Source organism: Homo sapiens, chromosome 17 (assembly GCF_000001405.40).
Source record: "Homo sapiens chromosome 17, GRCh38.p14 Primary Assembly".
Classification (NCBI taxonomy): domain Eukaryota; kingdom Metazoa; phylum Chordata; class Mammalia; order Primates; family Hominidae; genus Homo; species Homo sapiens.
The window spans coordinates 12,026,592-12,042,256 of NC_000017.11; the positions used below are offsets into that span (position 1 = coordinate 12,026,592).

Consider the following 15,665-nt stretch of genomic DNA (forward strand, 5'->3'; position numbering starts at 1 on the left):
AGAGGTAGGTTTTAACCACCTGGGTGACTGGTAGCCTTTGCTCCTCTTACTACTCTACTGCATGGTTCTCTGAGCCTCTTTAAGTCATTTCGGCCATTCAGGTCTGAAGGAAGCATCTTTGCCAGAAGTGATGCAGATTCAGGAATGGAGGAGAGAGATTATTTTAGGTTTCAGTCAGGGGGCGGAAGCTCCAAGCAACCAGCCACCTTTTGAGATGATTTTGGAGCCTTGGTGCTCCAAGAATGGTGCACTTCATGTTACAATGTTCTAAACTTGCTGGAGGGTTTACAGTGGCATTTTGAATCTGGAGACATTTCGATTGGGAATCTCCAAGTAAGTAGAAGACTTTAATTAGAGGAAACCATTGCAGATTTGAAAGGTAATAGAATCCTTTTAACACTATATATAAAAGGAACTCATTTGTCATAAAATTTAACAAATGTTGTCGTTCTGGCTAAATTTGTAATCTGGGCAAATTACTATTTTTGCTAGTGGATGTGGGTTAGCTTCTAGCTGTTTCCTCCCAACTCTAGAAAATCTTCAGGTGTCTCTTCATGCTCGGTAAGGTTGGGAGTTTAATGTGTACTTAAATTAATAGAAAGTATTCAAGTCGTAAGACTGGCCTTGCTTGTAGCTACACAGTGAAAGGGAGATGATTAGCCAGTAGTTTACACAACTCAAGGTGGGCCTTTTGAATGAAGAAAACAATTACATTGTATGCAGCTTGGTTCTTTAAGAACAACACATTATTCTCCACCACGGAGAAAGAGGATTAAAATGGACATCACAGCAGCTTTTTCGAGCTATATTGTATTTCATTTTACCCAAAATTGCTCAAACATTGAAAAACGAGGAATCAAGAAAAGTGTTGCCAGACATATATATCTGAACATACACACACACACACAGACACCAAATTGTTCAAACATTTAAAAAAAGAGGAATCAAGCAAAGTGTTACCAGACATATATATCTGAGATATATATATGTCAGATGTATATATATCTGACATGCCTATGTCTATTTATTGCCTGGCTTTGCTGAAGAAATCAGTGACATTAAGGAGCTCCCCTGATGATTTTGGCAGTTTCCCTGGGATCTGGTTATGTGCCTGTCATGGGGAAGCATCCATCTTTTTGGGGTTGTTAGAGTCCTCAGGATACCAGGCTGTGCCTAGGAAGGGTTGTGGCAGAGGTGTAGAGGGTGGGGTGTGGATCTCCAGGGCTGTTTGGAGTCCTTCCCTTTTAATTCTCTCAAGGTGACTGTGAATGAAAGGAGAAAGACTGGTTTTGTGTAGGTTAAGCTGGTCTGGTGAGCACCAGAAAGATAGGGAAGGTGCCATAATCGTTGCTCCCATGAGGGAGAGAACAGGAATAATAGTGCCTGTGATAATAATAACCTGCTTTAGTCCAGGCTTTTGGTTGGACATTTTAGATATATTTTCCCATTTAATCATCACAAAGCTCTTTTGGGTATTATTTTATTTTTCACAAATGAGGAAATTGAGGCTCATAGAAGTTAGATACTTGCCCGAAGGAACATAATTGTAAGTTACTGTCTCAGTGTACTGTGCTTCATTAAACAGGCTTGAGAAGGTAATGTGGCATTTAATTTTGTGGCCAAAGAATAAATAAGGTGGTCATTGCCCAAAGAGAGAAAAAGAGCTGGCATTATGAGGACACTTGAATTTAAAAAGTGTGGAAGGGATTTGATGAGTATTTTATCAACTCCTGACTGGTGGATGATTCTAACAACCTGGAATTGCTAACTTAGGGTGGCTCCCTTTTGATAGTTTCAGAAAGTTGACATAAGGAAATCTGAAAGAAATAAACCATCAGGAAATAAATCTTGGGGAACTTGCTCTGAGTACAATGAAAATACAAATTTAGGGTAGGTTTAGATAACGCCTTACATGTTAGAGCCATAATGATATACTATGGGTAGCTGTGGTTTAAGGCACATGCCAGAATTTTGAAGTTGGAAGTTTGAAGGTGTCAGACAAATAGACCCTTCATGCTTGTGACAGAGGAAAGACTTTGTAGCACGGTCTTATGGGCATGACCCAGTAAGGCAGCTCTGATTTTCTTTACATTAGTGTGGGTTCATATTGTAGTTCATAATGCACTTTCAGCAGTGCAAAAATCCAGAATGTCCAGGGAATCAGAAGCAACTACTGAGGAGATAGGAAACCACTTATGTCCGGCCCCACACCCTCTCTGATTTATATTATCAACCTAGAGGAATGGGAATGGAGATAACTACAAAACCTCATAATGGCCATTACACAAGCAAAATTAGATTTAGGCACACTGTTTTCAAACCCTTAAGATAATATTCTTTATTTAAAAATGACAAAACTAGGACTCAAGTGAAATGACTTCAGTTTCACAGTTGGAACTAGAACTCTGGTCTCCTAACACACTTCATTTTGTTTTTTACTTTATCGAACACCATTTGCTTTTTGTTTTTATAAACACTTACACATCCTAAACAGCCGCTTACCTCACTGTATTTGGTAAGAACAGTAAATTGTAGGTTTCAAGTTATGGCCACATAAAAGATCTTAAAATTGAGGTAAGAGGGTGAGAATGAGGGGCAAATGTGGGAACGAGGGTAGGAGATACGTAGAGAGAAAAAGGAGGAGGAAAAACCCTCATGTAGCTTTATTTCTTTTATAGGCTTACTAGCATTCTGTCCTATGCATTTTGATATTGATTCATCAGTGTCAAGAATTAAGAATTTAAATTCTTAAATAAATATTATTCTTGATATTTATTCTAAGATTTAATTAAACTTGCCTGGGGCCAGGAAAAATGAAAAAGACTCAAATTTACCCCTACTTGTAATGGGGAAAATATAAATGGAGGATCATGTCAAATTAAGCCCCAGGGTACAGATAGTTCACCCAGATATAAAAAAGTGAGGCACACACGACTTAAAATGTAACCAGTTAACTATCAACAGGTTCAACGGATTATCTAGTACCTCCAGAGATAGGACTTAAAGTAAGTGAATAGGAAGTCAGAATTTCGGAGACAAGGGAGACTTCAAAAATTGAACATATTGGCCAGGTGAGATGGCTCATGCCTATAATCCCATAACTTTGGGAGGCTGAGGCAGGAGGATTGTTTGAGACTAGCCTGGGCAACATGTTGGGACTCCATCTCTACAAAAACAAAAAACAAAAAACTCCAAAAGTTAGCCAGACATAGTGGCTTGCACCTGCTGAGATGAGAGGATTGCTTGAGCCCAGGAGTTTGAGGCTGCAGTGAGCTATGATCATGCCACTGCACTCCAGCATGAGCGACAGCAAGACCCTGTCTCTAAAAAAAAAAAAGAAAAAAAGAAAAATTGAACATATGTGAGTGAATACTAGTGAATATTATATCATAACTAAGAACTTGCATTTTGTAAAGTTGAGGATATTGGAAGTTTTCCTCATTTTTCCTTCCCACCATCTTTCTCTTGTGCAAGACTGTTGCTTGTCCCCTTTGCCCATCCTTACCCTTTGAGTATGAGCTAGTGGAGCTATTTGGTACTTTCCCAAATCTGCACTATAAGCACTAACTTTCTGACTTTTGCAGGTCTTAAAGATTTAGACAGACTAACTAAAAACGCTTCTTCCCTAATTTAATAATGTTAAGAAAGTTACAGAATTGCTAAAGAAAAGGTGAGCCAGTGTGTTCCAGTTAATTTAGACCTTGCTTGTCAGTGGACTCTGGGCGAGTTACCAAGTATTTTCTTAGTGAGAAATAATGTGGAGAGATGGATGTTTGGATGAGACCCCAGAATTCGTTCACCTGGTCACTTCATAATTAGATACAAAGAACAAGTCTATACTTATGCTTTGAACATTTTAATCCCCTTCCCACCTCCTTTGTAGCTACTTATATAGATTCTGTACTGGTGACAGAATTTCAGGTTTTGAGAATTTTTTAACACTTAAACTGGCGCTTAGCTTTTAATGTGTTAGAGCAATCATTGGCGACATTCTGTCATTCTCAGTCACATATACCTTAAAATTTTTAATATATTATACACTTATTAAGCAATGTAACTTTTTTTAACACAACCTTACATATAGATCCAACTGATTTCTTTTTCATATACCTTACAAATTTGTTTTCTTGCTCCTTTCGCCATCCATATTACTATTTTGTTCACCTCTTCTCTCTCCTTTTCACCTCTTTCTTTTTGCTACCTAGTAACAGTCAATCAGGGTATTTTGCTTTAAAGTTGTTTGTTTCCCAGCCTCCTCTCCAGTTGTAGTAGAAGGTGAGTTTTACCTTCCCTTTTCCAGTGGGATGCGGGGAAGACTTGCCTGCTACTTCCAGAGAACCCTTTTCTTCCTGAATGTAGTCAGCTCATTTTGCGTGGTAGGAGGCCAGTGGCTTTTAGTTGCTTAGGCTTGTAAGACCCATACATCTCTGTTTTTCTTTCTGAATTCTGTTCCCACTGCACATTTGGTGGGGTAGCATATTGACCTTCAGTGGTAGAGAGACCAGGGTCAGACCTTCTAGGTTTGCCCTAGTACTTCTTTCCCATGAAGTCTCCATTCTCACTTCTTCCTGCATTGTCATTTCTATGATAAGGTAGTCAGCAGTGGATTACTTCGGTGGTGCACCAAAGACACTTTTCATGTCAAAGTAGCTACATTAGCATTTTTCAGTTTTTGTACTTTATAGATGGCATCTTCTTAGAATCCTAAGAATTTTGATAACTGGATAGGAAAGACTACTTAACTATCCTTTCTTCAGTCCTGGCTCTTTTTTCTGCGTGTTTTGATTGAATTTGTTTAAACACAAAGTTATTGTAAGCTTACTTCCTTCATTTTGTTCCCCAAAACACAAGCGTAGATAGACCACTAACAAAACCAGATATCCATCCACTCACTAAACTAGGGGTGAAAGAATATTTTGTGAAGGCTTTTGTTTTAATTGGCTTACTTTACTGGATGCATCTTATCAAAAATTATATCTGTATACAGTGTATACATAAGGTGTAACCAGATCCAACTGGATTTGAAAATGTGTTTAGGTTTCTAAGGGGAATTCACAGGTTTTCTTCTTGTAACTTCTAAAGTACTCAGCTTTCTCATTCCTAGGGACACTATCTTATTTTTTCAGGCCTATTTTAGAAGAATTTCAGCCCCTCTTCAGCAGTTCATTGTCTTATTGTTTGAAGTTAGCTAATTTACTAGGAAATGTTTTATGTGTGTGTAAGTTTCACAATTTATGAACTGCTAAAACTTTTGCATCATAGATGGTAATTAATCATGGGTAACTCTAAATCAGTAATTTAAGTTAGTTAAGTAACTCATTCTGTATTTGTAGGTTGAAAACATTGAAAAAATGGACAGAACTATCTTAAAGGTTACTGTTAACTTCTAAGGGCTTGTAGTTCTTTTTATTAAATATATATGAAAAATAAAGATTAAGACTGCAACACAATTTAAACTTGATTTCAGTTTCATGTAATGTATTACATCTACATCTGACAGAGCTAAGTTTTTTAAGAAAGCTCATGTGTTATTGTCTCTGGTGGGGGTAATGTGATTTGACCTGTTCTTGAATTAGTTTTATTCAAAATTTAATATAAAAATGCAATGTCATGTTCCAATTTTGGTTTGTTTGATTTACAGTAAATGAACTGGAACTTATCTTTTTTACTTTAGGCTTTCAGATAAACTTCTGTGAAAAGGCACAAAGTAAGCTACAAATTTTATGATATTATGCTATTTATTTTTTTCATATCCATCTTGGTATTGGGAATGTGTCCACTATTGTTTCAGCTAACCAGCCATGGCAATTTTACATTCAAAGAGCTACCATTTTTCATTCTTCTTCCAAATATTAAAAAAATTATATTCTTGATTGTAAATTGTACTTTTTTCACTTGAAATTGAAATAGCAAAATATGTATAGGTATTTAGATGTATATAATATGGAAATACGTATTTAGGTATAGAAAAGTATATATAGGTATTCAGACTTAACCCTAATTTAAATTACAAGTAGAAGAGAATTCACTTTTAAGATCGTGGTGCAGAAAGTATAGAGTTATATTCAGACATCTTATGCTTTAAGATTGAATTATTATAAACCATACATTGAATATATTTTTAATTTTTTTCTTTAAAACAAAACAGTGTTTTTCTTCTGCCTCCCTCACCATCCTTATTCTGTATTAGGACACTAGTCTTCATATAATACAAAACAGACTTTCTATATCAAAAAAAAAGTTATAAACCTTGTATTTTATTTATTGAGACAGGGTCCCACTCTGTTGTCCAGGCTGGAGTGCAGTGGTGCAATCATAGTTCACTGCAGCCTTGACCTCCCTCAAGCGATCCTCCTGTCTCAGCCTCCTGAGTAACTGGGACTGCAGGTGCATGCCACCATGCCTGACTGACTTTAAACTTTTTTGTAGAGACAGGGTCTCACTTTGTTGCCTAGGCTAGTCTCAAACTCCTGGGCTCAAGAGATCCTCCTTTCTTGGCCTCCCAAAATGCCAAGATTACAGGTGTGAGCGACTGTACCCGGCCAAAAAAAAAATGCATTTAAGCTTAAATGTCATCTGTATCAAGTACAGTTAAAAAAATCTCATCTCAAGGAGACTACTCTCCAGTTAACATAAAAATATACCAAAATATGATATAAGTCGTTTTGTCTTCTGCTTTTTATTCATGAACTGGAGAAGAATGATGCTTTGATATGTGTCATTCTTAAGTACATTGATTCAAAGGCAAAAAAAATTAACCTGGAAAAAACATTTCTGCTATGTTTAAATTTTTTTTTGGAATGAGAATGCATAGTTTCCACTGATTGATTGTTATGACTACTTTGAAATGTAGTTAGCAAAAATTTATTTCTTGAATGGTTCACCCACAATGTAACTGTATATAAATAATAGAGATCAAGCAGTTAGACCCTAGGATAAAAGTTTTTTTAATTGGTTCATTACTGTTATGTCTCCCTTGCCTTAAATAACTGACTAAAAGTAATATATGATTTCCTGCTCATAGTGAACCTTTATATATGATATATATCTATATGAAATGAAGTTACAACTTCTGTTTTATGCTTTTAATTTTGACACATTCACTGTGATAATTTTTAGCTTTGACTTTTCAAAATGTCTGCTTAATATTTAGCATGACAACGTTTAGCTTTTATTTGTATTTTGACCTAAAATCTAATTAATGAAAAAAAAAGGCTGTCTTCTATTTTTGTTCATTTCGGAGACAGAGTCTCACTGTGTTTCCCAAGTTGGAGCCCAGCCTCCAATTCCTGGGTTCAAGTGATCTTCCCACCTCAGCCTCCCAAGCAGCTGGGACTACAGGTATATGCCACCACACCCAGCTCATTTTAAAATTTTTTTGTAGAAATGGAATCTTGCTATGTTGCCCAGGCTGGTCTCGAACTCCTGGCTTTAAGCAGTCCCACTTCAGCCTCCCAGAGTGCTGAGATTACAGGCATGAGCTACCACACCTGGCCTGACTTTTTAAAAATTTTAAGTTGTACTCACATTATTGTTCTTTTATTTAACCTAGTTCTATTGTAGATATAAAACAAGAGAAACATTGATTATAGTAAAATTGTATATACAGTGTCTATAAGTAGCTTTGTATGTGGATTAAAAATGCTTTTGAATCTTCTAAATGGCTCTGTTTTTGTCATTATAGAAATGATAGGTTTGCAGTGCGGCCTGCTTTGATACATATGGAAGAATTTAACAATGGAGGCTGGGACAGCGGAACCTGTTAGAACTTAATTATGTGGTGGAGGGGCATATGTATTCCCACTTTGATTATTCACCTTGATTGCCCTCACTGTCTCTTTACACTGTGGCTACTTTCTGCTGGCTTTTCACATCTCTCTTTTTATTTCTGCCTCTTCCCATTGGAAGGCTCCTCTTTATTTTCCAGTTTTGGGATTCAACACAGTTATTTATATACATTCACGAAATCACATATTGGACACCTAGAAACCATACAGTAAGCGAGATTCTTGGTACAGAAATGAATGGAATAGGCCCCTGCCGTTAGCAAGCTCATAGTTTAGTGGACTAGAGTTGATCCTACATTGATTACATAAGTGTTCAACCACCGATGTTACATACTAATTGATTTTTAACTGGAACCAGGGTGAGGATGGTGCAGGAGTGGATCTGTCCTGGTCACCTTTGCTCCTGCTGTTCTCTCATGAGAGAGAATGAGCATAAAGGGTGCTGAGAGTCTCATGATAACTGCTTTCTTGATTGGACACTGTGTCTTAGGGATCCAACAATGGGCCTACCCTGCTTTGGAGTTAAGCAGATGTGTCTGTGCTGGCTCAGACCTCAGTGAAAGACTCAGGGAATGGGAGTGCACACATCAGGGAGGGGAGCTGGAGACTTGGTAGAGATGGCTAGCCCTAAATTGACAGTATTTATTTTTGTACTATCAGTACCTATATTTTAGTATAAGTTCTCAGTTGCTTACATATATTAGCACTTCTTCTAAATCTGGTCCTGTGATTTGCATGACTTAAAAAATTAGAAGTGCAAATCTGTAATGTTTGCAGACAATCTGCTGGTTTGCTCTGGAATATAGACATTAACTTTATGGTAAAAGTGGTCACACTTTTCTTTAAAATTGGGCTTGGGCTGGGCACGGTGGCTCATGCCTGTAATCCCAGCACTTCGGGAGGCCACGGCGGGCAGATCACCTGAGGTTGGGAGTTCAAGACCAGCCAGACCAACATGGAGAAACCCCGCCTCTACTAAAAATACAAAATTAGCTGGGCGTGGTGGCACACGCCTGTAATCCTAGCTATTTGGGAGGCTGAGGCAGGAGAATCGCTGAACCTGGGAGGCAGAGGTTGCAGTGAGCCGAGATTGTGCCATGGCACTCCAGCCTGGTCAACAAGAACAAAACTCCGTCTCAAAATAAATAAATAAATAACTCCATATCAAAATAAATAAAATAAAAATAAAGGCTTGAAATCATCAAAGGACTGATTTCTCCACTGTTGGGGCACACTTATTTCTAGAATCTCCACTTTTATTCTAAGGATATTTCAGAATTATCAGATAAACTTATGTTTAATTTATTAAAAAGAATTATGTATCATACAGTAGTTGTAGGAGGGTATGGGGCAAAGAGCATGAAATTAGATATCATTCAAGTCTGATAAGTCTGAGTACTGGCTGCTTCAAATGCTCAAATCTATCACAAATAAAAAAGATTTATTGTAAGATGATTCTGATGACTAATGGAAGCTCTGAAGGATTAATTTTTTTCATTGACTTTCACATAGTTTTTGCTCTTTATATTGCTATGTCACTCTCTTTTAATCACTTTATTACAGTTGCCTGTTACAAGTCAGTGGAGTTTTATTGGAGATGTGTGTGTGTGTGTTTACATGCACAAATAGCGATTACATATTTAATTTGGGAAACATCTCTGTAGAAATTCAATAAAAATTCACTCTGCTCCTCACAGTCTTCCTTTTATAGATTATAGTTCATGCATTTATCTATTCTTCAGTTTATTTTCTAAATATAAGTTTATTTTAGATAAAATAAACTTCAAGTTACATTTATTTAAGACCATAGTGTCATGTTTCCTTTAATACTGTTGGATCATTGAATTTTTCTGAAGTCTGAATGTAAGAACACTTTAGGGAAAAAATATTTTTCCATTTGTAAATGTAGAGTTATAAGTGTAGAGGTCCTGCCTTAGAAGGTTGATTAATTTATCTGTTATTTGAAGATAATGTTTTTGTACATGTAAAGGTATTTATATAATTTATGACCGTATCTCACTGACTTTAATGAGCTAACCTGTGAACATAGTTGTTTAGAATATGACTTACTTGCTTTATAAAACCATTTTTTCATTTTTTATTTTTCGAGGAGGGATGAGGATTTGCCTGAAAACATTTTTTTCTCACAAGCTGCCCAACTACCAAAAAAATCATTCTTCCAAAACCTCCTGATGTTGATTCCTCATGAAGAGCAGTTGAGTTGCCCAATGTGTGCCACTCATGACAGAAGCCCCCTTTTTTAGAAACACAGTTTTTAAGAAATGCTTTTATGAAGTTGAATTTACCTTAGTGTTGTCAGCATTCTAATTTTTTTTTTTTTCAGATGAGAATCGTGACTCATTTAAAGATCTTTGGGCATAGGAATTTTCCTCAGAAAATGCCTAACCGAATTGTGTGCTAATCAGAGTGATAGTAGCTAGGCGTTTGGCAAATACTCTTCTGATAATTTATTTTTCACACAAAGGTGCTTTTAGCTCTTTATCACTATCCTCCCCCCCGCCACCTTTTTTTTGTAGCTGTAGTATATTATCAGTTCATGGCCGAAGAGTTCTGGAGCTCTAAATATTTTGGGTAGTGTTAAGTTTCTGTAGCTTTGTCTTTTACGTTTTTGGTGGCGTTAAAAACTTTGTGCTTTTAAAAAATGATTTAACTTGGAAGTGTTTACATAGCAACAGGATATTTATTTAGAAGATTAGATGCTCCAGAGCTATTATTCTGGATGCTACGAATTGAAATTAGAGTACAGGTGGCGGTGGTTTTTGGTGGCACTGCACATCAGTATATTTGGAGGAAAAAAAGGAGGCATCCTGGAGACTGATTTTATAAGTATCCCTAATTGTTTTTTAAATTGGTAATAATAAAAAGGAAACCATAAAGAGGAAGAAGGATGTTTTGTGAATCTTCCAAGAAATTTGGGAAAGATACTAAGTTTACTGACCTGCTAAGAAGTGTCTGTAAATGATGATGTTTTGACTTTATTGGAGTGGACTATAGGAAAACAGGAAAAGCAAGGAGCAAAGGGAAGGTTAAGTTGTTCTGCATTTAAAACTAAGAACTTAGAAAATTCAGCTGGTTAAATTTCTGATTCCTCGTTTTATGTAGCAAAAGTCTGCAGCCAGTGACAAAAATTATATAATTTGGAAATTATTAAATTCAACTGAGTTTGTCAGCAATCCTAAGAAACAAAATGTCATTTACTGCTCTTGGAGGTTTATACAGTTTATATAAGTTTATATATATAGTTAATGAAGTTAGTTGAAAAATGAGACTTGTAGGATTAGCCGTAAGCCAGACTAACATCTAATATTTATTACCATTTGTGGGGACCATGATAAATTGTCAATGGGAAGTCCATCTGCTTGGAAAAAAGTTTTTATATTAGTTAAAGCCCAGGAATTGTAGAAGTAGAAGTGGTATATTCCAGAGTCAGGATTCACCTATTCCTCTCATACTTTATGCTTATACCTTATACCATTACAAAGGGAATGTTGCTTAGTTGTCTTTGACCTTGGAAATGGTGGGAACATGAATTTGTCCTGAAAATGCTTTTTGTTGCTAGGAGAAGGAAGGTTTCTAACAGCTATTGCACCTTAAAATAATTTGGGGATGCTTAATGTGTGACATTTTTGATAAGAAAATAATTAGTGACTTTCCCACATTGCAGAAAGTTTTCATTTATATGCCACTTGAACTTTACTACTAGCAACAAAGGGATGTTGACAGAACTTTCAGAGTTGAACAGATACAGAGTAGAAATGATATGGAACGTTTCCAGAGAGTATTCCCAACTGAATCCAGTTAAAGTGGTTTTCAATTTAGCTCATACATTTAGGGTGATGGTTTTCAGATAAGGTGTAGTAAATATTTGGATTGTCACTACATGGTTTTATGAGATCCGAATCTAGGCAAAAATGTACAGTTAATAAGATGCACTAAGAAAAAGTTGTGACTTCCATCTTGGTGTTCATTTTCCCTGGGTAGAAATGCCAAATGAACGTTAATCAGAAAGGAAAATCAAGTGCGTACGAACATATTCACTCCCCTTTAGAGAAGCTCTTACAAGGATAAGGAAAGAGAGGTACAAATGTTAACAGTTAACAAATGTGTATCTATATATACCTTCGACAGATAAAGATATTACCAATGATAAGAAGCACTGGGATCCTTAAAGATGAATTAAATCTAGAGCCTACTCTGAAGAAGTGTATGTTCTTTGAGAGATTGAGCATATATAGGAGCTATGTGGTAGAAATAATAACTCTTAATGTGTGTCAAATCCTGCTCTAAGCACTTTATATTAACTCCTTTAATTCTCACAGCAGCCTTATGAAGTAGGTATAATAGTTAATATAGATGAGGAAACTGAAGCACAGAGAGGTTAAATAAAATTTCCAAAGTCATATAGCTAATAAGGGGCAGAACTGTGTGACCTTGGTCTGGTCACAGTTTACACGTTGTAAACCTTAGTGTTTTACTAATTCTTGAAAGCAGTTGGCGCTTATAGGAATGATTTTCTAAATCAAATGGCTTTTGAGGAGTCCTCATTTGCACTAGGTTATGAGATCTGGACCTACCATTTGTATCTTGGTAAGCCATTTGTAAGGCTTATCAAGGTTATCCAGTAAGCCTTACTGAACATTAAAGTAGAAAGATTCGTGTTGCTATGAAGTTAGGAACACAGGGGATCTACCACTAGGGAAAACGATGTTTAGTGAAAACCTAAAACTCTCCTGGCCTAGACAGATACAAGGAATAAATTGCTCCAGGATTCTGAAATGACTTATATGCCTGGGTACAGCTGGAGAAGATTAGTAGGTCAGGAGACCTGTGAAGTCAGTGGACAAGGTGGCACAGCCATGAACTTTGTGAGGACAGACTGTGTACAGACTGTCATAAGAACAAACTGATGCTTTTAGCAAAATTTTTATGCATCCCCACCCCACTTTCTTTTTGGCAGGGTTAGAAGAAAGATTTAATTTTTGAAAACTTTTAATAGTAGAAAATTTCAAACATACACAAAAATAGAGTAGTGTAATGAACCCCCATGTACCCATTATATAGCATCAGCAATTACCAACATATAGCCAATCTTATTCTTCTTCCCTCCAGCTATCTCTGCTGAAATACTTTAAAGCAAATTCTGATGATCATTATTTTATCCACATAAATGTGTTACATGTCTTCTAAGTGATAAGGACTCTTAAGTACATAACCTTGATACAATTATCTTACCATTAAATGAACAAAACAATATTACTAGATAGCTACTCAATGTTCACATTTCCCCAAAAGCCTTGTAAATGCTTTATTTACAGTTAATTTGTTCAAGTTGAGACCTCAGCAAGGTATGTGCACACATTGTGTTTGGTTGATATGTCTCTTAAGTTTCTTTAAGTCTGTGGTAATTCCCTCTTCTCTCTTTTCCTTACCATTTTTTTTGTTTAAAAAATTGGTTAATTTATTTTGTAGCATTTTGTATATTTTGAATTTAGCTGATTGCATCCTTTTAGTGTTTAACATGTTCCTTCATGCCCTGTTATTTACCTTTAACTGGTAGTTACAGAAACTTGATCAGACTTTTGGCAAGAACACTTACTTCATAGACGGTGTTGTGTGCTTCACATCACATCCAGGTGTGTTGTTGTATCACATCAGGAGGCATATGATTTCTTGCTGGAGCTCTTGTTAAGATAAACCAATGGGCTTAGGTGCTGCCAGTGTGATCCATATAGTGTAAAGTTCTCCGTCAGCCTTTCATCTGGTAGTTCTGGCCCATTAACTTTGCCTACATTAATTATTTTCTTAGGAAGAGGTTGACTCTCATTTTCAGACATATGTGGGCTTTGCAGATAGTAGTTGTATCCAGCCAAAAAAAGACAAAATTTGTGTTTGGGGCATACGACTGAAAGCAAATTATAGTTAAGCCTTGGTCATCTCTGACTTAACTATGCCAGTACTGAAGGATATGAAAGTGTATTTATATGCACACATATGATATACAAACATTTATTGGGATGCTCTGTATTTTGATAGAATAAAAACTGGATACTTGTCCTTTCTACCCTGGAACATGAGTTGACCCGTTCATTAGGGCTCATTAATCTTTGCAGATAATCAAAAGCCACGTCAAGTAATAAGACGTTCTCTGGTGAAGTTGAGGAGCCAATGGTTAGACAAGACTAGTCCTGCCAAATTAAGATCAATCCCACATCAGAGCCCAGCTTTTAAAATTTGTGTTCAGTGCTTAGAATGCTCAGATCCTTCAGGGCATTGCCTTCCCAATACTTGGGAATCAGATTGAGTCATCAAAAGTCAGTTTGGTGAGGATTAGAAGTGAGTAAGAGTTCTCATCCAAGATTTAATAATAAAAATCTGATGACCTACTTGTGTTTTAATTAGTAATGACCTTTTAATGACCAGTGTATTGTTGTCCAGTTGGTGTCATTTACCCTTTAGCAGTAATAATTTCTTAACCAGCTTTCCTTTTTTCCTATTCCTGTTCCATCATCTAACTTTAACTAAATTATTAAAGTCTCTCTCTCATAATGTTCTACAACTAATTTGCTCTTTTGATTTTCTTTTTGGGTCTTTGTAAGTAACAAATTAGAAACATTTCAGTCGAGATTCTCTCATGTACTGTATACACATGAAGTAGATAGAATGCAGCATATCTTCTTTGAGTGCCATTCACGCTCTTGATTATTCTTAATTTAGTCCAACCTTTTAAAACTTTCAATTTGTAGAATACATTTATGGGCAGCAAATAGTTTTTTATTGTGTCCACTAGGAAATAAAAGTGTCATTCACGTGTTAATATTTTTGAAATTGGGAGTTATTTAATGAGGGTCAAAAGAAGCCATTTGGATGGGAAGAGGAGTATAATATTGCTAATTATTACAGTATTACCTTTGTGTGGAAGATGCCTGCTCATTTTCTACCTTTGTTATTTGCTTTTGTAGTGACATAGTTGGATTTTAATTTAAATTTGACTGTGAATTGTTACCTAACATTTCTTAAAAATGATTATATAGTGAAATGCAGTGCTGAAATGGAAAGTTGGTGGAGTATACAAAAGATCGCCACGTCTTATGACTCATGGCAGTTAAAAATGCCACATATCGTTTTCAAAGCCAGAAGATGTCTGACTAATTTTTGTGTCATGAAATTCTATTGTTAGCATTTTTCTACTAAAAGCTTCTGGTAACTTTTTCAGAGAACCTGCATAACATCCAGTTATACATATTTTGATTAATGAGGAAAAAAAAGAAACAACAAATTGGACCCATCAGGAAATACAGATAAAACACCCTATTGTGTCTCTTAGTGAAACTGTTTGTCCTAAAGATGTTAAATCAAACATTTGAGCTTCGATTCCTTATTTATTGAAGAAATATTTGAGTTCCTATTAAATGACAGGTGCTGTTACGAAAAGAACTGAGTTGTCGGACTCATTAGAATGTTCTGTCTGATTTCCAATGGTCAGAAGTCATGCCGATGGAGGCTGGGCGTGGTGGCTCATGCCTGTAATCTCAGCGCTTTGGGAGGCTGAGGCAGATGGCTCACCTGAGGTCAGGAGTTTGAGACCAGCCTGGCCAACATGGCGAAACCCCGTCTCTATTAAAAATACAAAAATTAGCCGGGTGTGGTGGCAAGCACCTATAATCCCAGCTACTTGGGAGGCTGAGGCAGGGGAATTGCTTGAACCCAGGAGGTGGAGGTTGCAGTGAACCGAGATCGTGCCTGGGCAACAAGAACGAAACTTTGTCTCAAAAAAAAAAAAAAAAAAAAAAAGGTACCATGTAGTAGTAACAGGTTATTTGAAGGCTCTCTAAATGGTCTTAATTAAAATATAAACAA

The 15,665-nt window shown here is 36.4% G+C and overlaps 1 protein-coding gene and 1 pseudogene across 5 annotated transcripts in view; one reads left to right on the forward strand and one right to left on the reverse strand.

The window, feature by feature from the left end:
- Window positions 1–15,665, forward strand: part of MAP2K4 (mitogen-activated protein kinase kinase 4) — a 122,952-nt gene that overhangs the window by 5,715 nt on the left and 101,572 nt on the right. For 3 of the 5 annotated variants that reach the window (XR_007065381.1, NM_001281435.2, XM_011523976.3), the window contains exon 2: window positions 5,675–5,707. The exons of the other annotated variants lie outside the window; for them this stretch is intronic. Coding sequence is in view for 2 of the 3 variants with exons in the window: in NM_001281435.2 (NP_001268364.1) it covers window positions 5,675–5,707 (33 nt within the window). In the remaining variant the exon portion in view is untranslated. The remainder of the gene's footprint in view (window positions 1–5,674; window positions 5,708–15,665) is intronic. 5 annotated transcript variants of the gene reach the window in all.
- On the reverse strand, window positions 9,905–10,046 carry RNU11-2P (RNA, U11 small nuclear 2, pseudogene; annotated as a pseudogene).